We start from the raw sequence: 23,864 nt of genomic DNA, 5'->3' as shown, positions 1-23,864 counted from the left end.
CGGCCGGCTTCTAGTTTTTATCATTTCTGTTTAAAAGCTAACAGTCTCATTGTTGCAACTGTGAAGGCAACTGGTGAATTAACGATGGGACACATATTCTTTGTCACTACCATCAGGTAGAGGATATTTTCCCTGCCTGTAATTTTGAGCAGGCCCCGGGACTTGCTTTGAAAGGCAGCATGGATGAAGTAGTGCTGTTTCAGTTTTATGCACAGGCTCTAAGAGGCCTAGCCCAGATGCTTCTGCTTTCACCCTCTTGGAGCCCTCAGTCATCATGTGAAATGGCCCAGGACCCTGCTGGAGAGGGAACTGCAGCTGTGCCAGAGCTAATGCAGCCACCCCAGTTGAGGCCCCAGACATTTGAGTAAAGCCATCTTTGGTGGAGTCCCCACATGTCTGCAGTTGCATAAATGACTCCAGGTGAGACCAGAAGAAATGCCCAGCTGAGTCCAGTTCAGACAGTAGAATCTTAAGCAAAGAATAGTTTTGTTTTAAGGTAGTAAATTTTGGGGTGATTTGTTAGGCAGAAAAAGATAACTGAAATAGTATTTGGTATTTAAACAGGGCATTGCCATGACAGAAACTTAAGACATGTAGCACTAGTTTGGGGACTGGGTTATAGACATTTGGTGGAAGAGCAGCAAAGAGACTACTAACGGAGGCTGGAAAACCACTGAGGAAATTGGTATTTCAGGCTGGACAGAAGCCATGTAATCTACTGACAAAACAAGTGAGACAGTATCTTGGAAGATAGAAAAAGTACCTATTGAAGTTATAGATCTGGCTAAGGTTTCCAGGAAAAATGCTGAAAGTGATAAGCAATTTTTCAAAAAACACCTGTAGAAAGGTATTAAAAGAGAGAAGAACTAAACAAGGAACTGCTCAGTTTCAAGCAGAATTTAGAGGAAAATACTTTCAACCTGGGACTTGCAGGGTTACAAAATAAAACTTTCTCGTTACCAGCTTCTTCAGCAAAAGGTTCTGAAGTTAAAAAAAAAAAAATCCAGGGTGTTAACTGTAAGATTATGGTCTGAGGATCAAGATAAAATAAAGCACATGCAATACAACCTTGTTACTACTACAGATGCTCCCTGACTTACAATGGGGTTATGTCTTGATAAACCCATCGTAAGCTGAAAATATTAAGTTGAATAGTACACGTAACCTACCATACATCATAGCTTAACCTGTCATTGCTTAAATGTGCTCAGAACACTTGCATTATGTTATATTGAACAAAGTAATCTAACACAAAGCCTATTTTATAATGAAGTGCTGAATATTTCATGATTTACTGAATACTGTACTGAATGTAAAAAATAGAATGGTTGTATGGGTACTTGAAGTATGGTTGCTACTGAATGCATATAGCTTTCATACCATCCTAAAGTAAAAGAATTCTAAGTTGAACCATCATAAGTGGACGACCACCTGTACTTCAGAAAGATTTAAGCCAGTGTCTAGCTGACGCTCTCAGGTAGACAAAAGACATATATGACTCTAAAGGGTATCATTCCCTGATTGACATTCAAAGTACATAGAGGACTTCTTGAAGAAATTTGTGGGTGTGGCTTCTCTCTGGTGGAGTGAGTGGTTTATAATTTGAAAGTCCACAAAGCTTTTTAAAGAAGTTGTGCCAGTGTGGATAACTGTGCCAGTTGGGACAGAGCCTAGAAGCAGGCTGAGAAAGCTACAAAAAGAGGACATTTCTCATGGAAAAGGAAAGACAGCTCAAAGAAAAAAGTCAAGAACTGAGAAAAAGAAAAGGGAGCCAACTTCAGAGAACCAAAGTAGACTAATCAAATGTTCCCTACCCCTGGAATTGGGGGAATTGGTGACATATAGGCAGATGGATTTCACAACTGCCATGGGATTGCTACATGCCTTCAATTTCCTCTCTTGTAAACTTAGTCAATTCATGTGACATCGTATCCTTGCCATAACAATGTAGGTTGTATGTGCGGGGGTGGATAGGACCAATAACTTTTTTTTAATTCATAGGTTTACAGTTGAAGAGAAGCTGTATCTGAGGAGTCTCTTCCATACACAGGAATTCTCTCTTATCTGAGGGGAATATGTTCCAAGACCCCCGGTGTATGCCTGAAACTGTGGATAGTACCGAACCTTATACAAACTATTCGAACCTTATACAAACTATTATTTTTTCCTATATACATACCCATGATAAAGTTTAATTTATAAATTAGACACAGTAAGAGATTAATAATAATAAAACAGAACAATTAAAATAATACACTGTAATAGAAGTTGTGTGGATGTGGTCTGCATCTTTCTCTACCTCAAAATGTCTTATTAATACTGTACTCATCTATTTTTGAACCTCAGTTGACTGTGGGTAACTGAAAACTGTGGAAAGCGAAACCACAGTTGAGGGGGAACTACTGTACACAAGTAGACTCTGAGCCTGATGCCATAATTGGATGGGACTGTGGGGTTCTTGGGGTGGGTGTCATTTTGCATGTCGGAGGAATTTAAGCAATGTGAGCCAGTAGGAAGACTCAGGCAAATGAGAGATGCCCTAAAATTCTATCTGCCCTCCTCTTCACCCATGTCTTATCAAGAAGTGAAGTTCTATCTGTTTCCTTGAATCTCAGCTGGCTTTGTGATGACTGGCTCTGACCAACAAGAATGCAGTTGAAATGATGCTCTATGAGTTTCTAGGCTTTGAGAAGCCAGGCAGATTCTGTTTTTCACCCTTCTGAAGCCCTGACCCATCACGTGCTTATTACTGTGCCAGAGAGACCATGGGGAGCTGGAGAGACCAGATGGACTTGGAGGGATCACATGGTACTTAAGAGACCATGTAGAGATGGAGCCTGGACAGCTCCCACTCTTCCAGGCTTCCCCAGAGGCACCAAACATGAGAGTCAAGAGCTCTTGTGTGTGTAGCCCCAGCAACATAAGTGACTTCACGTGAGATCAGCAGAAGAAGTGCCCGGCTGAGCCCAGCCCAGACAGCAGAATTACAAACAAATAAGTGGCTGTTAAGTTCTGTAATAGTAAACAGCCATTTGTTTGTTTGTAACAATAGGTAACTGATACAGAAATAATATTTTTCCTCCTGGCTCTTAAGCTTTTAATTTTCCTAGATGTGCTTTTCATTGTACCTATTCTGCTTGGGGTCTGCTGAGCTTCTAGAATCTGTAGGCTACCTTTCATCCATTTTGGAACATTCTAGCCCATTTCTTCAAATATCACTTCTGCCCGATTCTGTTACTTCTCTATCTCCCAGACCCTAATTATATGTATGTTAGATCTTTGGAGTTTTTCCATCACGTTTCTTATGCTCTTATCAATCCCCACACTCCCTTATTTTCTCTGTGGTTCTGTCTGTATATTTTTCTAGTTCACCAATTCTGGGCTGTGCTCTGTTCAATCTGTTATTAAACCCATTCAATGAGTTTTCATTACTGTACTTTTAAGTTCTAGAATGCTTATCTGATTTTTAAAGTAGTTTTTAGTTCTCTGGTGAAAAGGTACTTTTTTCATCTACTTTCTTCATCTTTTCCCTTATTTTTGTGAATATATTAATTGTAGTTATCTTAAAGTCCTTGTCCACTGAGTATAATATCTCTATTATCTGTAAATCTACTCCTATTGTCTGCACTTTGCCTTATTATCAACCATACATTCTTGCTTCTTTGCATATCTAGTATTTTTTTCTAAAAATTGTATTCTGGTCTTTCTGTATAAAAGAATCACAGCGGCTCCAGATATTATACTTCATCAGGGCAGTTTTTCCCTTAATTCTATTAGGCAAAGAGGTCGTAAGACTGATCAACTCATTCCTGCCTGATAATGTTAAGTTGGGGCATACAGTTTGGCAAGACTCAATCTGTCTGGGTCATTCCTGTTCCTCTGCTGTGGCACTCCAGGAATTCTGATTAGGAACTAATCTAGACCTAATGCTAGATAAGGAACTAATCTAGATCTAATCAGAATCCCCAGAGTGCCACAACTGAGGAACAGGAATGACCTCAGGTGTCTAGTAGGTAGGTGTTTGTCTCCTCAGCCCAAAAGACTTTTTCCTGTTAGAGATCCCCAGCTCACTTCAGTCTCCCATCCAAGTAGTATTAAGATGAAAGTCCTGAGGGGAAAAAGCCATATGCTTATGGCTGGCTCTGTTACCCAGCATCTCCTTATTTCCTAAGCAGTGTGAGATGGAGAGATTTCACTCTACCGTTCCTAAGTTTTGAGCCTAATCCCCCAGACTCCTGTGTGGCCTTAGTTCTAATCGAAATGCTCCTTGGAAAAAAAACTGGTCATGTGTTTGATTTCCAATCTGTTAATTCCACCTGGAACAACTGCTAAAAGCTTTACTTCTTTCTCTTTTTCCTCAGTAATGGCTTTCTCCCTACGCTAAGGCCAGTTCTTAGCTCACACCCTGAATCAACAAGTGCTGGGGGCATAGGCAGGGAGACACAGCTGGCAATCACCAGCTCACTTTGGAAAGGTTCTTCTGTCACTAGCAATTTAGTTCTTTCATATCTTGTTGCTTGCCTAGTTTTGTGATAGCTTTAAAAACATGATTTTAGAAGTTTATCTGGTTCATTCAAGTTACTGTAATGCACTGACCTGCCTTGACCTACTACATCCTAACTGGAATATTACTTTTACAGGTGTATTAACTTTTAATGTTATTTGACTAAATTCTTGTATTCTTTGTAGTTGCTTTTCCATGGATTCTTTTGGGTTTTCCAGACATATGATTTTATTAGATACAGTAGGCAGTCTGAATGCCTTTGTCTATATTAATACATTCAAACTCATGTTGAGTAGTAGTAGATAGAGTGGACATTCTTGTCTGGTTCTTGACTTCAGTGGAAAAGCATTTAGAAGGCGCCTAGTAAGGTCCTGGCTTTTCTGCTAAGTGGTGTGTGTGTGTGTGTGTGTGTGTGTGTGTGTGTTATTGTGCTAAGAAAAGTATCAATTCTTAGGGTTCTTAAACTAAGTTGGTACTGAATATATCCAATGTTTGCACAAGTCTGGATATAATTATATGATTTTTTCCCCTCTATCAATATGAAGGATATTAACGGTTTCCAAATAGTAAATCAATTCAGTATTCCTAGAATAGCCTTTTAGTCATGATGTATTTTTCAAAATATGCTGTTAGATTATGTTTGCTACTATTTTACTACTTTTGAATTGTTAACAAGAGAAATAGGTTAGTAGTTTTATTTTTTGGTGTCATTTTTTTCAGATTTGGGGAACAATGATATGTTTTCTTTGTAAAATACATTTTCTTTTTTTGATACTCTGAAATATAGCAGCATTGGAAATTTTTGGTCTTTAACGGTTTGTAAAAGTCCTCTGTGAAGTATCTGGGCCTAGTGTGCTTTTTGGTTGGAATTAACTATTTTTTCCATTTCTTCTATGGCAATCTTTCTGATTTAGATGCTGTTTCTACTGAGAAATAATATTTTTAGAAAACTACAGTGCAGCATTTTTTCTGCATTGTAGTTTTCTAAAAAATATTATTTCACCTAAGTTTTCAAACCTATTTGAATAAATTATATGTTTTGGTTAAAGTAGTCTGATTCTCTAAGCTTCCTATTTTTATGGTCATGTCCCCCTGCCTTTCGAATTTTATTTTGGCAATCTCCTTTTCCTTTATTAGGTTAGCTAATGATGTATCCATTTTATTGATATATACCTCAAACTCAACTTTTGGATGCATTGTTTCTACTGATTTTCTGTATAATTAATGCATCCTTTTTCTTTGTTAATTCTTTTGCTTTTAGTTTATTTTTTCATCCTGGTTTTGGGTGTTTATATCTTTTCTTCTTATTTTTCATTTTTACTGACACAGTACTTAATGCTATGCAAATTTCTCTGAAAACTGTTTTAGTCTGTTCTACAGACTGTTATTTTGTTTTCATGTATCTTCAAGAAATTCTAAATTTCTTATTTTCTCTTTGACTCAGCTGTTTAAATGACATGTTTTAGAATTTCCAGGTAGGAGGGCTTTTATATTGTTAGTTATTATTATTATTATTATTATTTTTTGCATTCTGGCCAGAAAATGCTACTTTTATTTTCTTCCTTGGAATTTGTTCACTGCTCTGATATAATTTTCATGAATGAATATTCTATGTTCAAATGACAAAAAGATGTATTTTCTATAATCAAAGTTCAGAGTTTGATATATCTAATAAGATCTACCTTACTGATTATGCTATTTAGGTCTTTATATCCTTATTAATTTTTTGTCTGGTATTATGTGGTATATTTTAATCTGTTTCTCTGAATCTCCCTGAGTCTCTGCTTTATGACATTTGTTTCTGGATACATAAATACTAATTATTATTACAAATTTATTGTAAACTGTAGTCTTTAGCATTTTAAAGTATATTTCTTTGTCATGTCAAGCTTTTTGATCTAAGTTTTTCCTTGTTAGGTATGGAGATCATAAACTTTGCTCTCTTATTTGCATTTGCCTTGTATGCTTTATCCATTCTTTTATTTTTATCTTAAATCTTGTTAAATTTTATTTGGATATTTCTCGAATACAGCATAATGTTTGGCTATGCTTTGTTAAACAATTTGAAAATATTGTTCTTTTAATAGTTAAGGTAAGAACATTTGCAATTATGGATATAATTGTTTGTCCTTGGTCCCTTGAATCCATCTGTTTAATATGTGTACATGTGTATTCTTTTACTATATTGTCTATCTTATTTGCATACTATTTTCAGGTTATCTTTTGGTATTTAGGAAGGCTTGTATTGTATCTATAGAGTAAGGCCTTTATATAATACCATTACTCTCCCTTCCTTCATACTTTTTTTGGGCTATATTCTGTTGGTCCCCTACTATGAACAGTATGGAAATTACCTGATAACCTTTTCTTACATTTCTACCTTTCCTCTCCACCAGCATTTAATTTGAAGTACCATTCTTTAATTCCCAACCAGTATCTATTAAGTAATCAGTGAGCTTATTTTACCTTTCATATATTCTCCTATTCTCTCACCATTTTTTGATAATTGTACTATACCTACATTTTCAGAGCTCAAACAATCCCCAACTTAGGATTTTTCAACTTTATGACAATGTGAAAGCAATGGGTATACAGTAGAAAGCAGTACAACACTCTTGCGAGCTGTAGCTGCCAGTCAGCCACATGATCACAAGGGTAAACAGCTGATACTCTATAATATACTGTGCTGCCAGATGATTTTACCCAACTGTAGGCTAATATAAGTGTTCTGAACACATTTAAAAAAGGCTAGGCTAAGCTATAATGTTTGGTAGGTTAGGTGTACTAAATGCATTTCGACCTATGGTATTTTCAACTTAACAATGGTTTATCAGGATGTAACCCCATGGTAAGCTGAGGAGCTTCCATAACATACGATACTGTCTTGCCTCTCTTAGAGCCATTATTCAGTCTTGGCTCTATAGACAAATATATAATGCTTGCTACTAGTCCCTTATACCAATGCTGCTCTGGTCATTTTGGCTGTCTGAAGCTTATCTCTAGACAGTCTTCTCAAGAAGGGGCTCATGGAAACAATATTTGTTACATGTTAATGGCAATTTGTCTGTGGACTCTATATTGATGGTCAGTTTGGTAGCATATAAAATCCATAGCTCCTCTTTTTTTATTCTTTAAGTATTCTAAATATGTTACTCCATTGTCTTCTGGAATCAAGAGTTGCTGTTGAAAAATCTGATTATATTTTCTTTCTTTCTCTCTTTTTTTTTTCTTCCAAGATGGAGTAATTTTGCTTCAATAAGCACTGCTGTTGACTGTTCTGGATCAGTTTTCTATGGCACACAGTGCACCCTTTTAACAAAATATATTTTATAGAAATAGAATAAGACTCAAATCTTATTTATTTGAATCTAGAGCTTAAAATATGTTTCTAACATGTTATCTTCAATTTTTCTTTAACTCTCTTATTTTCGTCACTTGTCACTTCTGTCCTCTATGTCCCTTTCTGTGTTTGTGATGTATTCCTCTTGCTGCTCCTTCCAATTTTGTCGTCAGTTCTGTGACAAAATTTTTCTACTACTGACCTGTTTGGCCTGGCACTCAAGTTTAATATATTTCAGTTTTCTATCTCCTGTTTTTATATCCATTGCTAATCTTTCTCCTGTGTTTTTATATTTTTGCTTTGTGATCTTTATTTATGCAGGCGAATTTTTTTTTCTTTTTGAGACAGGGTCTCACTCTGTTGCCCAGGCTGGAGTGCAGTGGCATGATCATAGCTTACTGCAACCTCAACTTTCTGGGCTCAAGCGATCCTTCCACCTCAATCTCTCAAGTAGCTGAGACTACAGGTGTGTGTGAGCATTTTAATTTTTTTGTAGAGATAGGGTCTCGCTATGTTGCCCAGGCTGGCTCAAACTCCTGGGCTCAAATGATCCTCCTGCCTTGTCCACCAAAGTGCTGGGATTACAGGCATGAGCCACTGTGCCTGGCCTAATATTTTAATCCATGGAGAAAAGTTCAGTCTGAATTATAATGTGTTCCATTACAATATTTTCCTGCTGTGTGTTCTTTAGTAAGTTTTGCTGCTTTTTCCTATGGTTTTCATTCATTCACTCATTCATTCATTCATTCATTCATTATTTATTGAGACAGAGTCTCACTCTGTCACCCAGGCTGGAGTGCAGTGGCGCGATCTTGGCTCACTGCAACCTCCGCCTCCTGGGTTAGCACTGATTCTCCTGCCTCACTCTCTCAAGTAGCTGGGATTACAGGTGCGTGCCACCGCACCCGGCTGATTTTTGTATTTTTAGTAGAGATGGGGTTTCACCATGTTGGCCAGGCTGGTCTTGAACCCCTGTCCTCAAGTGATCCACCTGCCTTGGCCTTCCAAAGTGCTGGGATTACAGGTGTGAGCCACCGGGCCCGACCGGTTTTCTTTTATTTTTGTATCAGTGCTGTGTCTGCTCTGTTTTTATTACTCAGGATTTTCCTGGTTGGGCTACCTGTAGAAAGTTCCTTCAGGTAGTAGAATTTTGCTGACGTTTTCTGAAATTGCTAACCCTGCCTGAATTCTGCTACAATTCATCCTGTATGTTTTTTGTGTGGATCATAACCACTTTTGGCAATCCTTACTTTTTTTGAAGTCTGGGGATCATGTGTTTGCCCTAGTTTCATTATAACTGGAGTCTGCTGATGATTTTTCCATGTGCGATACTCGGAAGATGAAGGAAGTTGCTATCTCACAGTGTCGCATTCATACTTGAAGTTGGGTTGATTGTTTAAATGACTATGTTAAATTAGCTCTTTAATATTATACAGTAATAAAGTAGAGAGATTCTTAGCCATAAAGTAATAAAATTAAATTAAAAAACCCCTCCTCTTTACACAAATATCACACAGAGGAAGAAAAGGAGTCTTAGAACCTCTCAATGATATTTTCTGTAGGCTCTACGAAAATGCAATTTGGTAAATATTTTGTTTCATGATTTCAAGAGAAAAGACATTTCAAAGTGTGTTTCCCATCCATCATCCAAAATACCAAATATTCTTCACCATCAGAAGAATATCTGACTTATTTCATATACCTAGATTCCATGGTTTCCAATACTACCACCTCTATACACACATACTGGGGTAAAGAAGAGAAAACTGACTAGGTAAGTTTCACCACAGAAAGCAGGCAAAGAGACAGAAAAGAATATTACCCAAGTGATAGAAAAAGCGACTGAAACATTCTGAGGGGAGTTATTTCACATTATCCTTTTAGCCACCAAGTGCTAAGTAACTAACAGAAGAGGTTACAGACACTTAGGAGCAAATAACTTAGAAAAGAAGTTAGAAGGAGGGCAATTGTTTCCAGCTTTTCTGTGGGGTGACTTACCTTTTCCAAAACTTTGGCAATTCGGGTGCCAATCTGTTCAAGCGACTGTTGTGGATATTGGTCTTTGCCGAGATTTTGTAATACCTGGAAGGAAGGAAGATAGTAGATTAGAAGAATGAAAACGATGCAGGATCTAGATGATACTGCTAATGCTGAGTTGGGCACTGTACCACAGAGGCAAACTGTTTTTCTGGGATACATGCTGTGGTCCTATTGGTAAGGTAATCTATGGAAGACACATTTAAGGCTGTTTTATCATCCCCTCAGCTCTCCCACATTTAACAAAAATTACAGAATGTAAAACACATTCATTATAGCAACACTAGAACACAGAGTAAATGAAATAAACTATGTGTAATCTTGTCATTCAGACATGTAAAGACATATAGAGAGGTATTAACAACCACTTTTAATACCTTTATATGTCTTTCAGATATTTTTCTATGTACATTTTTTTCTCACAAAATATTGAATTACACTGTATACTGTTACCTATGTTTTCACATTATATATTGTGAAAATTTATTCAGGTCAATAAGAATATTTCTATATATTTTCTAATGGTGCCACTGTATACTATCTTACATCTAACCAAAATTTATTTAACCAATCCTCTACTGTTGGATACTTGTGATGTGTTTTTCCAATTCTTCTAGGTATATGCTTTGCTAGGTATATATTGGGTCTGCTTTCCTTACCCTTCCTTCTTAAAAATGTCAACAGGAGAATTAACTGCCCCATACATTTTTCTCAAGAGTTGGTATTTGATGGCAAGGCAGAACTACCCCCCTTGAGGGGTAAATCAGAATTAAAATTCCATGGTCATAAAGAAAAAAAGAATAATAAGCTCAGTCCCAGGGCCTGAAAGAAATCAGGCTTGGCCCAAACCCACCTAGGTGATGCCTAACTGAAAAAAGCCCCTATTTTTTTTTAAAAGGCCCGGTCACCTGGGCTTTCTATGTAGTATCAATGTGCATCCTAACTGTGAGGCTAAAAAACAGCCTGAACAAAGCCGAGCACTCACCTCTGTTAACTGACTCTCCCCTGTGTAGTGCAGGCTGGCTCGGTTGGAAACCCCATGCAAGTGGTCCAGGGTATGCATACTCGTGGGGAGATTGCCATTGCAAAGAGGCTCCATTGCTGGCTGCTGTATAGGGGTGGCAAAATCTATGTGTTCTGTGATGCTGAAAAATGGAGATTACCACATTAGCTATGGGAAATTTTTGAGTGGGTGGGAAGAGAAGAGAGACAGCATTAACAATCAAGGAGAGACAGCATTAACAATCAGCTCATCATAGCTTCAACATGCTATCCCCTGATTTTAAACGAAGTAAGTTTTCTTCTAGGATTTCTTCTTCCAAGATATAAGTGGTGATAAATACCCACAACTAGTTATATCTTTTAGTTTTCTTTTATGCACAGCAGCACATTCCTCCCCACAGAAAAAGTTACCTAAAGCTTAGACAGTAAATCTTATAGAGATACAGCCGTACATTGTATTTAGGTGTAAGACTAAGTACTTCCTTTCATTTTCCCACCATATACAAGCTTACTATTATAGACTATCATATGCACTAATATGACAAATTGGCACTGCCATGTTTTACTTGCAGCTATTTAAAAAGTCTAACAATTATTAGGCAAACATTCACTCATTATTTATTTAGAGCCTATTACATGTCAGATACAAGGACTATAATAATGAGTAAAACAACATAGTTAGTCCCTGCTGTTACCATGTTCATTCTCTTGTGAGTGATTCATTTATTACATGTGGTAAGTTATAAAAGATAAAATATGGTGCAATGATAATACACTCCAGGAGGATATATGTTGCCTCTGCACTGGTGGAGGAGGGTAGCTAGTGAAGGATTCTGTGGAGGTAAGATTAAGTTGAGGCCAGAAGGTTTAGTATGAATTAACCAGCTGAGAACCCACAGTGAGAACAATGCCACAGACAAAGGAGACACCACGTGTGACAGCCCTGGCAGGAGAGAGGGCAAAAGAGAGGATGAAAAAACAGGCAGGGAGCAGATCAAGAAAGGCTTTATGGTCCACTTTAAATAGCATTAAGAATTTCCTAGAGTGCTTTAAGAATGATTTGACTTATATTTGAAGAATTCTGAGTACTGTGGAGAGAATAGATTGAACAGAGGCAAGAGTGAACAGAGCAAGAGGACCAGCTAGGAAGTACTGGATGAACCGACGTAGGGATGGTTATGCTCTGGTTTGAGGAGGCAGCAATGGGGATGGAGAAAAGTAGGTGGTTTTGAAAAATACTCAGGGAGTAAAAGTGCTAAGAATTGGTAACAGGCTGAATTTGAAGAGCAAGGGAGGAAAATCATTAAGGATAACTCCCAGGTTTTTGGCCTAAGCATTACTGGAGCTATTTACTAAAAATAGGAAAAGAAAAAACAAAACAAAAAAAAACAATAATTTTTTAATATGGAGAGTGGGCAAGAAAATTATGACTTTAGTTTTCCCGAGCATGGGTTGCCTGAGTGCAATCTAGACAGACAGGTCAGGGAGACAGACAAATGAGTTGAACGCATTGTAAAAAGATCTGGTCTGGAGATTCAAGTTTGGGAGCTGTTAGTACATCTTTGTGTTGATTGGAATTTTGGGAGTAGATCAGTCTGACTAGAAGTGATTACAAAATAAGAAGGCTTAGTGGTAAATCCTGGGGAACTCCAACACTTAAAGGGTAGAAAAGGGGTCAGCAAAAGAGAGCGAGTGTCCAGTGAGGAAAAAGCAGTTATCAGAGGCATCTACTATGTCTTGGTAGGTGTTTGCAAATCTGGATTTGCTCTGGCTCCCTTACAACTGCATGATATTCATGACAAACCATGGGTTTTGTGCTTCTATAGAGAGGATCCAGTCTTCAATTCAAACTAAGCAGGTTATACATGGCTGCTAGATAGCTTACAAAGGACAGGTGAAGGCACCGGGAAGGGGGGCACACTCACTGCTTTGCTACAATGGGTTGGGTCCACCTGGGGGCCATGGTCAGCATGGTCATCCTTTGAAAATTCAGCTCTAGAAAGGATAACTCTTCTACTAGCTGCTAAGAGGGGATCCTTAAAGTCAGCTGGGTTCAATGGGACTCAAATGCCATAAAGGAGGGAGAGGCTTAACATACTTACTCAATGTTTTTTGAAGAAACTGCAAGCCAGGTACTCACGATGGCAGTCAGCTCTACCCAGCGGAGTTTGAGGCATTCGTCCGGGCTGGGCCATCCCAGACGCTGGTAGTCACGTTTTTTTCCTGGAAGGAAAGTATGCCATGAATCCACACAATTGCAAAGGAAGAGAACCCAAAGGGCCTTATGCCCTGGTGATTACTTCACCTGGATTGGTGTATTTGGAGGTGCTAGTCATTCCTGTAGTCTTTAACATTTCCCCCATCTATGATCTAATTAAAATCTCGTCATTATGCAATGGAACTAAAGATCATCTCTGAGTAAAGATAGGTGGAGAAGTAAGAATAAATGAGTCCTTTGCTAGATTTAAGATTGATCAACATGAAATAAGGGGTTAAGGCATTCTTCAATGTTAACATTCTTACCAAACTTAATTTTTGCCCCTCTGTATTTTGATTTTATAAAGACAACTCCAACTTAGTAGAAACATTTATCTCTAAAGCAGGGTTTCTCAACCTGGTATTATTGGCATTTTGGGCTGGATAATTTTTTGAGGGACCTGTCCTGTGCATTGGAGGGTGTTTAGCATCATCTTTGGCCTTCACCCACTGGATGGTGGTAGCACTGTTCCCCAGATATAACAACAAAAATGTCTCCAGATATTGCCAAATGTCCACACCCAGTAGAGAGAACCACTACTATAAAGAAGAGCAGCAGGGAGTAATGATGTTAATGAAAGATTATCATCTCCTCCCAGCCCCCACCACACCACCACAGTCCAAGAACCAGCCTGGTTATCAACTATTTGAAGAGCACTTCCTGTGTATTCAGATCCCATGCTAAGTGCTTTACATCCTTAACCTCATGTGGTTAAGTTTTTTCCATTTTTCTTTTTTTAACCTCATGTGGTTAAGTTTTTTCCATTTTTCTTTTTTTAAGTTAGAGACAGCACCTTGCTTTCTTGCCCAGGCTAGAGTGCCGTGGCATGATACTAGCTTTCTGGAGCCTTAACCTCCTGGACTCAAGTGATCCTCCCACCCTGGCCTCCCAAAGTGCTGGGATTACAGATGTGAGCCACTGCATCTGGCCTGAAGTAGGTTTTAACCCTCATTTCTCAGATGAGAAAACAGAGACTCAGAGAGACTAAGTGACTTGTCCAGGTCACCTGGCTAGCAACTGGCAGAGCTAGGAGTCTGTTTGACTCTAACGTGTATGTTCCCAATCAACAAGCTATTTAAAGCTACAAAAAAATTTAAAGCTCTGTTTATTAATATCCTTCGTAAGTACCACCTTTTGGGTGTGGGCCCTTTACTTACATCAAATCCCCAAGAAAAGAGCAGAACTGTCTTGTCTGGGAAGGGTTTTCTGAAGGAGTTATAATGGAATAGGCAGGAAGGAGAACTTTAGTTCTGTATAGCGCTTTTTATATTATAGGAATTTACGAACAGTAGAAAACTGTTTGAGGTACAGGCAGGGGTTTAGATTGAGATTTTAACAAAACAGAAAGGAACAGTTTTGGAAGAGTTTCAAATTAACTCTGTTTAAATTAATAACTTAAATAAGCCATAATTTTCACAAAAAATCTTAATTTTCTTTTACATTTAATAATTTCATTTGAAAAATATTTATTGAGCACCTGTTATAAGGGGCTGAGAACCATAAAAGACACTAGGGGTACAGAAAGGAATAATTAAGACGGCCTGCTCTTGAGCTCACAGTCTAGTAAGGAAGGTAAACATAAACAAATCATTACAATACAACAGGAAAAGAGCTAGAGCGAAGATATAGAACAATTGCACAGAGGAAAGAGTAACTAATTCTGCCTGAAGGTAACAAGGAAGAGATGGCACTTGATTTTGAAGTTTAAGGATGAGTGATATTTTAGCACGGCAGAGGGCAGAGGGGGCACAGGGCATTCCAGGCAGAGGGAATAGCATGTGCAAAGGCACTGAGGTAAAAACATGAGCATGGTTGGTTCAGAGAATGGTGTTGAAGGGTACACAGAGGCGGGCTGTAAAGGGTCTTGTACACCACACTAGGAAGTTTGAATTTTATCCTGTAGGCAATGGGAAGGCTTCAAGCCCACATCTCTCCATCTGGTTCACAAGGATATCATAAGAGGCTCTGTTAAATGCCTTGCTGAAATCCAGTTACATTATGTCTATGGCACTTTCCTGGTCTTCCAGTCTAGTAGCCCTAACCAAAAAAGGAAATGAAATTAGTTAAGCATTATTATTAGTTCTTAGAAAATCTACAATGGCTCTTAATGATCTCCATTTTTCCCCCATGGGCTCACAAACTATTTAATACTTTGCTTTATAACTTGGTTAGGATTCATCATGAAGCTGATTAGTTAGCAGTGAATAGAATCCATACTAATTTGAAAATTGGGTTTTTGAATCTCTCTAGTATTTCTGTCCTCTATGCTTTAGAGCTTTTCACTTTAATGCCAATAAGTAGTTCCATAATCTCATTTGCAAGTACATTCAATGCCCTACTTGGGCCCACCAACTTGAATACATTTAAAACTGCTTAAGTGCTCTCGTATCATCTCAACCATATTCGGCTTTAGTTTTCACTTTTATAATAAATTTTTAGTTTTTTGTTTATAAAAGTAATATAGGCTTATTGTAAAATATTTAGAAAATGGAAAAGTCATACAGAAGAAAATAAAAATCACCTATAGCTCTGTTAGCACCCAGAGATGACCGTTTATAACATTTTGATGTATTTCATGCTAGTTTTGTTTCTATGTGCTTGTTTATTATACCATATTTCATCAAATCTAAGATGCTGCCAACTGTAAACATACATTATTTTACAGGATTTAAGAAAGAAAAACAGTGGCAATTATTATATAAGATACTATCAACTGTAAGATGTATTCCAATTTCAGAGATATTGAAATGTGAAAAAAATGTAGTTGATGAAATATAGCATAATGATTAAGGTATTCTCTACATTTACTACTTTATAAATTGCTTTTCTTTACTTACTATATTACCAATATCTTGAGTGCATATTATGCAGCATAGATGTGTTATGATTTATTTAGGCAATTACAACATTTATGTTGTTTACAAATTTTTATTATAAGCAATCCCATGATCAATAATCTTTCTACTTACATCTATGGCACTTGTAAGATGATTTACTTAGGGTAAATTACTAGAAGTAGAATAACTGGTATATTTTTAAATTTTCTGATGCGTCTAGTCAGACTGCCGCAAAATTCACTTCAGTTAAATAAAATGTGTGTTACACATTTAAAAACAATTTGATAATCAAAACTGGTATCTTACTGTTTATGTCTGCGCTCCTCTGATTGCTGATGAGGTTGAATATCTTCTCAAGTTTAGCGGCCATCTGTGTGTGTGTGTGTGTGTGTGTGTGTGTGTGTGTGTATGTATTTGGTGAACTGCCTATGTACGCTGCACGTATTTTACTGAAATACTGTATGTTTCATATTGATTTGTAGGTGCTCTTTAAATGATATTGATACCCTCTGCTTATCATATATTCTGTAAATATATACAAAAATAATCTACAAAAAAACTTTGCTTCAGTCCTTTGTCTTATTTTGTGGTACTTTCCAGTGTCAGAATTATTATTTTCTTTCCCTCTCTCTGCCTTAGAAAGTTCTTTCCACATGGAAAGAGCATGTAAATATTCACCTAATTTTTCTTCCTTTATGATTTATTACACATAATGTTAAATCCACTGGAATTTGCATTTCCATAATGTTTTAGAGTTTGAACATTTTTTTCATTGATACAGAAGATAGACTGGTTTCTTGACCACACTTTGCCCCTTTATCATCTCATCTGAACTATTTCAAGTTACAAATACAACCTTTGTGAGAAATGAGATAGTGACATCTAAAACAAGAAACTGGCATATTAAACATTCAAATTTACCTTGTGGCCCAGGAGATGCCACCTTGGGGCCAGTGATCTCTAGGTTTGCTTGGTAACGATGTCCATTTTCTATCTGACCTGTTTCTACTTTTTTCCCAGGAGTTTTCTTATGATCTCCTTTGGGTTTCTTTACACGTTTGACCTGGAATGTAATCTGGGAAACAGAAACATGTTAGGGACAAATGAGACCAGTGATCAAATCTGTCAATGATTTGTGAATACTAGTTTAAGAATAACCAAGTACTGTGCTCAGGTTAAGTTCTCTCCTTGAGTTTAATTCTTAAAGACCTAAATAAAAAATGGTTAGTGAAATGAACAAAATAACCTAGTCTCGAAGAATGTATAGAAGAAACCGAAAAGAAAGATGTCTGAACTGGACAGTTCCAAGTCTGCAGGCTCTGACAGTGGCTTCACACCCATCCCATTTCCTCCTGCCTTCCAGAAGAGCCAGCAATACATAAGTAACATGAAATGCTTCCTCCCAATAAAATTCCAATGTGAAGGCTGTCCTGGAGTGCATAGCCAAGTAGTGCCACATATCCAACAGAAACTTCCCACTTTGCATATTAGGATCCCCTGAAAGGCATGGGCTACAATTTTGTGAGAATTAAGTTGGCAAACTTACCCATTCTGTTGCTTCATCATCTTCACTTCTGCAGTCTCCATAGCAAGAGCTTCTGGCCACTCCATCCTGGGGACCTTTCTTCAGCACCCGTATTCCTTGTAAGTCTAGACGCCGCCCTTTCATCTCTAGTGCACCCCCAAAGCCTTCCAAAGGCCATGCCTGTTGAAATTCATCCACCAAAGCCAGTATTTCTTCTGACATTTTGGTTTCATCTGAATTCTCCATCTCATCAGAACCATTGCTCTCCTCAACCACCGTACCTGAAATTCAAGGGCCAGCACGTTAGTAAAAGGTACACAGTACTCATTCAAGACCTTGGGTGACTCCAACCCTGCTTTTGGAGAAACGTTTTGGCTCTGCTTAGAGGCACTACTATAGCCCAATGTAATAAAAATTCCATTCAGCATCTTCAAAATACATAATAAAATACCAACTTTGTCATCTAGCGTTTGCCAAAAGCCTGGCTGAGAACAGTGGCAGCTAGAGAGCAGGCAGTCAGAGATTCTGTTATTAGCGAGCATGGGGACAGGTATGTGATACACTATTTTTTAAAAAAGATCCACTTGCTCTACATTCAAAACATAGATGGCAAGGATGAAGCTTATTATGTTATTTAATATATGGGATTCTTCAAGGTTTATTCAAGTATCTGGACATAGCTGTGTGTCCAGACCATATAGCTGGCTTAATTGCCTTAATTGAAAAATGATTTGTTTAATGGAAAACTATCCTAATTCTACATGAAGGCTCCCATTTTTCACTAAATGGCTGATATAAGAAATAGCAATATACTACAATAATTTCTTTCTAAAATGATTACCAAGATATTATTTAGGTGGCTCAAGTCTCTTACATAAAGACTCCTATGGAAGACTCTCAGTGTAATGGCCTAGCAAAAATTCTCTCTCCTGAGAACTCAGTATGTTTCCTTTATTATCCAATGAAGGTTACACAGCCCTCTTGAGTTCTCCTCTAAGCTTGAATAACAAGGAAGCTCAGGCAAAATTAGCCCGAGTTTCTTAATAGAAGGCTTTCTTTTAAAAAATTCTTCACTACTTAACTTTTCCTGTTTATTTTGAATTGGCTGGATGTTACACTGTGCATTCCATGAAAGTCATCCCTAGTCCCTTTAGGAAGTAGATAGGGTACAAGAACAAATAACAAAATGTCTCCTTTTGTAACATGTACCCACAGGAAAACCTGAGAGCTCTGGGTTGATACCTCACAAAATGCCAGTTTCATTATTCTAGTGCAATAATCTTCAGTTGGTAATTCTGGCTTGTTCAGGGATTTAGAACATGGTATTATAGCCATGCACCACATAATGAAGTTCTGGTCAATGATGAACTGCATATACCATGGTGGTGCCATAAAATTATAATACTGTATTTCCCCTGTACCTTTTCTGCATTTAAATATGTTTAGAGACACAAATATTTACCATTGTGTTACGCTTGCCTACGGTATTGCAGTACATAAACATGCTGTAGAGGTTTGTAGCCTAGGAGCAAGAAGCTACACAATATAACGCGGGAGTGCAGTAGGCTATACCACCTAGCTTTGTGTAAGTAAGTACAGTACACTCTATGATGTTCCCACGACGGCAAAATCACCCAAGGACGCATTTCCTAGAACATATCCCTGTCGTTAAGCAACACATTGGAAAAAATTCATGCTGTTTAGCTACGAAGAGTTCTGCAAACCCAGTAACCCAAGGTGATTGCTTCCTTGTGCTCCTACCATATGGTAATATTTATCGTTATTTAAAAATTCTGAGAGAGAGGGGCTTTCATTAATGGAAACTGATATTCAAATGAAGAGAGAATATGGAGCTTGCTGAAGGCTTCTGTTGCTGGTAGCCATTAAGCTTTTCTAAAGGCTGCTGGGGTTGGGGCGAAAGCAATTCCTAAAAAAACAACACTAAATATGTACATATTTTTATATTTTCTCCTCACAGGTGAAGAATAAGTAGATTATAAGTGTGCTCTGAGTTAGCAAAAAATAAACCAAACTTTATTGACAGCCTACTATATGTCTATCTCTGTAAGCTGTAGGTGGGAACAAAAAAAAATGGAAAGTTTCTAACCTTAAGAAATGAAATATAATGAATTTATAATCAAGTTGGAGACAGACAACTACATACATGAAATAATAAGAGAAAAATTAATTTTTTTTTAGAGGGAAAAAATATTTGCATGTAATCACAAAATGCTTCTTAGAGAAAGGCGGACTACCTGAGACAGGATTTAAACAGATAAGAGTAGAGGGTCAGGGAGGTCACTCCCCATAGGGACTTTTTTTTTTTTTTTGAGATAGAGTCTTGTTCTGTTGCCCAGGCTGGAGCGCAATGCAGTGGTGTGATCTCAGCTCACTTAAACCTCTGCCTCCTGGGATCAAGTGATTCTCCTGCCTCAGCCTCCCAGGTAGCTGGGATTATAGGCGCAGGCCACCACACCTGGCTACTTTTTTTGTATTTTTGTAGAGATGGGGTTTTGCTATGTTGGCCAGGCTGGTCTTGAACTCCTGGTCTCAGGTGATCCGCCCACCTCAGGCTCTCTAAGTGCTTGGATTCAGGTGTGAGCTACTGCATCCAGCCTTCCAGAGTTAACAATTTTTTTTTTTTAAAGCATGTATGCATAGACTCATTTGTCTACACACATACATACAGGGATAGTAAAGGCACATGTGAGGGCATTACCAATTTCAAATTAATTAGAATAAAGAATGTATACAGGGGATAGTAACAAATAAGATACTGAGGAAAAGGTAGGTGATGTTACAAATGTGTGGGAAAGTCACGAAGAGGATTTGTTGTAAAGGGAGCCTCTTGTTTCTTAAACAGAAGAATAACAGGATGAGGGCCATAATAATTACAAAGGTTAAAGTCTTAGAGTAGTAAATCAGTTTGTGTATCGGAACTGGGGTGTTGGACAAGGAAAGAGAAGACAGAAGACAAAGAGACCAATTAGAAAGGTATTGAATAATCTTTATAAGAGTTACAGAAGTAGGTTGTCTTAAGGTAAAGGGAAAAGGAATCTTTAAAAAAGAGAGGGTAAAGAGGTATACAAGGAAATGTTAATGGAGAAAAATTAGTAATAGGATAGGCTCAAAGGTGATTTCAAGATTTTTCAGTCTAATGTGAAAAACTGGGATTTTTAATATATGACTATAGGTTTAGAATCTGTGAATATGTAAACAGAATGATATTTATAAAGACAATGGAGTTAGGAAAGGGCAACAGGATAAAGAGTTGGAATTGTAGACACTTGTCATTAATTCATGAAAATGTTTGTTGCTGTATCTAGCAATGTGCTGAGGGCTGGGGTTGTAACAACCCATGGAACTTACAGTCTAGACAAGAATGGATGGAGGAATGTATCTTCAGATATTGTCCTATATAGAACACTGTCCTACACAACTGTCCTATACAGCTGAAAATACCGAATTCTGGTTTGGTGAAAGGTCTGGATTGTAGAGAGATCTCAGAAGGTTTCAAATTATGCTTGAAGCAAGAGGAATAAGTAAATCTTAGGCTTGCTGCTTGTAGGACAGATGGTATGATATAAACTGAAAACAGAGCCTATTTTTTCTTGATTTTCGTTACCAAGCACCATTTTCACACTGGGAAGAAGAATAAATATTGTGAAGTTGGAGAGAATGTGAGCATCCACAGTGAGGTTTATATGAGTTCACATCCTTTACTGAGATGAAGCCTATTCCAGGGTAGTGGGAAGGTTTATACTTGTATCTGAGCCATATTAGGTACTATCAAGAATCACAGGGACTAGGAGAAGTGTTAAGAGATGAAGCTACGGGCTGGGTGCGGTGGCTCACGCCTGTAATCCCAGCACTTTGGGAGGTCGAGACGGGAGGATCACCTGAGGTCAGGAGTTCGAGACCAGCCTGGCCAACATGGTGAAACCCTGTCTCTATTAAAAAATACAAAAATTAGCCCAGGGGTGGTGGTGGGCACCTATAGTCCCAGCCACCTCGGGAGGCTGAGGCAGGAGAATGGCATGAACCCAGGAGGCAGAGCTTGCAGTGAGCTGAGATTGCGCCACTGTACTCCAGCCTGGGCGACACAGCAAGACTCCATCTCAAAAAAAAAAAAAAACCAAAAAAAAACAAGACATGAAGCTATGCATATGTAGTCCTGTTGAAAACAAAAAGAAGCTTGTAATGTTCCACACACATCTGGAGATTCATGTTTAAGTCTGTGCACCTCACTTTAAGAGATATCCAAAGCAGAGCACATTCACAGAAAATATACTTGGCAAAAGTACTCAAAACCACATTAAATGAAGACAGACTGAAGAAGTCGACGGGGATCCAGTGGCAGGAAGAGTAGCTGATATATTGCACCAAAAATTCGGGCTTGAAAAGATTTTGAAAAATTCCAAAGAGATTACTTCAAAGACAATGAAGAGACTAGATGCCATAACATAAGTTATTCAAGGAAGTGAGGACATTTAACTGAAGAGAAGCAAAGACATAGGAAAGGAAGGTAGGCAGGAACAATAACCATCTTCAACGCCTAAGGGAATGTGCTATTAATGAGAAACAAGACTGATGCTGTTAGCCTCATAAGACAAAACTAGAAATGAGAGGCTCAATATTAGGAAAGACTTTTGGATCAAATGACAATGGTTATCCGGGAAGAAACTGGGATCATCATACCTGGAGTAGAAACAGAAGCCAGTTAATGGCTGCAGAGGACACTATTGAGAGGGAGTGGAATATCAGAAGCCAATTAACAGAAGGTGACTATATTTGATAAGAAACAACATTAACAATCTTGGAAGAGAAGTTTCAAGGAGTTTAGGGAGCAGAGGATGGAAAGATGAGTGCTAGATTCAAAACAAGACAGAAGTAAACACAGCCATAGAAAGAGGTAAAGAACACAAATTCAAAGAGATGGCCAACAAAATCTGACCGACAACATCTTCCTCCAGAAAGTCTTGCATGAGTAATATCAATGGGTGCCAGAGTACTTAAGATTGTGGCTTCTGAAGGCAAGTAAGGCACATACTATCTTTAATAACAATACTGTAGAAGGAATATGTCCCTTTGTCTCACAAAAGAGAAAGAGTATTCTAAGGAATTAGACAAACTTGATTCCAAATTAAGATTACCACCATACAGCCGGGCGCTGTGGCTCATGCATTTGGGAGGCCAAGGTGGGTGGATTGCCTGAGCTCAGGACTTTGAGACCAGCCTGGGCAACACAGTGAAACCCCATCTGCACTAAAATACAAAAAAATTAGCTGGGTGTGGTGGCATGCACCTGTAATCCCAGTTACTTGGAAGGCTGAGGCAGGAGAATTGCTTGAACACGGGAAGTGGAGGTTGCAGTGAGCCGAGATCGTGCCATTGCACTCCAGCCTGGGTGACAGAGTGAGACTCCTCAAAAAAAGATTACCACCATAGGGCCTTGGGCAATTCTGTCTTCAGTCCTAGGGTTCTCTTTAAAAGGCAGTGATCTGATTTGAAGTCAGATTGGAAAGCTGCAGATATGCTTACAATTTAACATATAAACAATGACATAAAATTTCAAGCCAGTAATCAGAAAGCGCAAAAGGCTTAGATTAAATCATTCGGATTAAGGTAGGTAGGGAAATCATTCTCTTCTGAGCAGAAAACAATAATCATAAGTATTTGTTGCCACCAGTGGCGTTCTTCCTTTTTTTAGCTGGGTCACTATAGCAAGAGAAAACTGGGAACTCTGAGTAGATAACCCAGAAAAGCAAACAGGGAATCTTTCCTGTAACAATTCTTGTGCAAATGTATTATGGCTCCCTTGAACTGAACAGATGTTTACTGATCATGTACTATGTGTATGTGTTTGTAAAGACTTTGACTCCTGAAGATGCAATTATATCTACATTTGTAGAACATTTACTGGGTTCTGAGTACCAGGCACTAAAATAAATGCTTCCCAAAGTTATTTCATTTAAATACTCAAAACCACTCTATACAGCATTTTTGTTGGTTTGTTTTTAAATAAATGAGGTAAGAAAGGCTCAGGAAGATTAAGTAACTTGCAAATCTGATCAGATTTACATTTTAGAAACAACTCTTTGGACGCACAAAAAGTTAGTTAACAGTGGTTGTTTCCGCCTTTAAAATTCTGTATTGATTACATGTATTCTCTTTCTTCACATACAGACTAAAATAAAAGACTAGATTTAGAGAGCCAAATTAAGACGCTACTGCAATAGTGTAGGCAGAAATGAAGAAAGTCTGAATTCAAGCAGTGGCAGTGGGAATAAATGAAGAGATATAGATGCAACAGGTCTGAGAGACTGACTGGATACAGTGGTGCCTGGGTGAGTTGTGATGTT

General features: G+C 38.0%; 1 protein-coding gene across 12 annotated transcripts in view; it reads right to left on the bottom strand.

Moving 5' to 3' along the window:
• Window positions 1-23,864, bottom strand: part of TTC17 (tetratricopeptide repeat domain 17) — a 136,012-nt gene that overhangs the window by 33,824 nt on the left and 78,324 nt on the right. For 9 of the 12 annotated variants that reach the window (NR_164824.1, NM_001376525.1, NM_018259.6 and 6 more), the window contains 5 exons: window positions 17,524-17,783; window positions 16,899-17,052; window positions 12,986-13,106; window positions 10,867-11,026; window positions 9,843-9,926 (listed from right to left, as the gene is read on the bottom strand). Coding sequence is in view for 10 of the 12 variants with exons in the window: in NM_001376525.1 (NP_001363454.1) it covers window positions 9,843-9,926; window positions 10,867-11,026; window positions 12,986-13,106; window positions 16,899-17,052; window positions 17,524-17,783 (779 nt within the window). In the remaining 2 variants the exon portion in view is untranslated. Of the gene's footprint in view, window positions 1-9,842; window positions 9,927-10,866; window positions 11,027-12,985; window positions 15,178-16,898; window positions 17,053-17,523; window positions 17,784-23,864 lie in introns of those variants that run through there. The other 3 variants (NM_001307943.2, XM_047427255.1, NR_164823.1) reach the window with 2 other exon arrangements.

Source organism: Homo sapiens, chromosome 11, assembly GCF_000001405.40.
Source record: "Homo sapiens chromosome 11, GRCh38.p14 Primary Assembly".
NCBI lineage: Eukaryota > Metazoa > Chordata > Mammalia > Primates > Hominidae > Homo > Homo sapiens.
The sequence above is the reverse complement of the archived record's forward strand: the minus strand, read 5'-3'. Positions and strand labels throughout refer to the sequence as shown.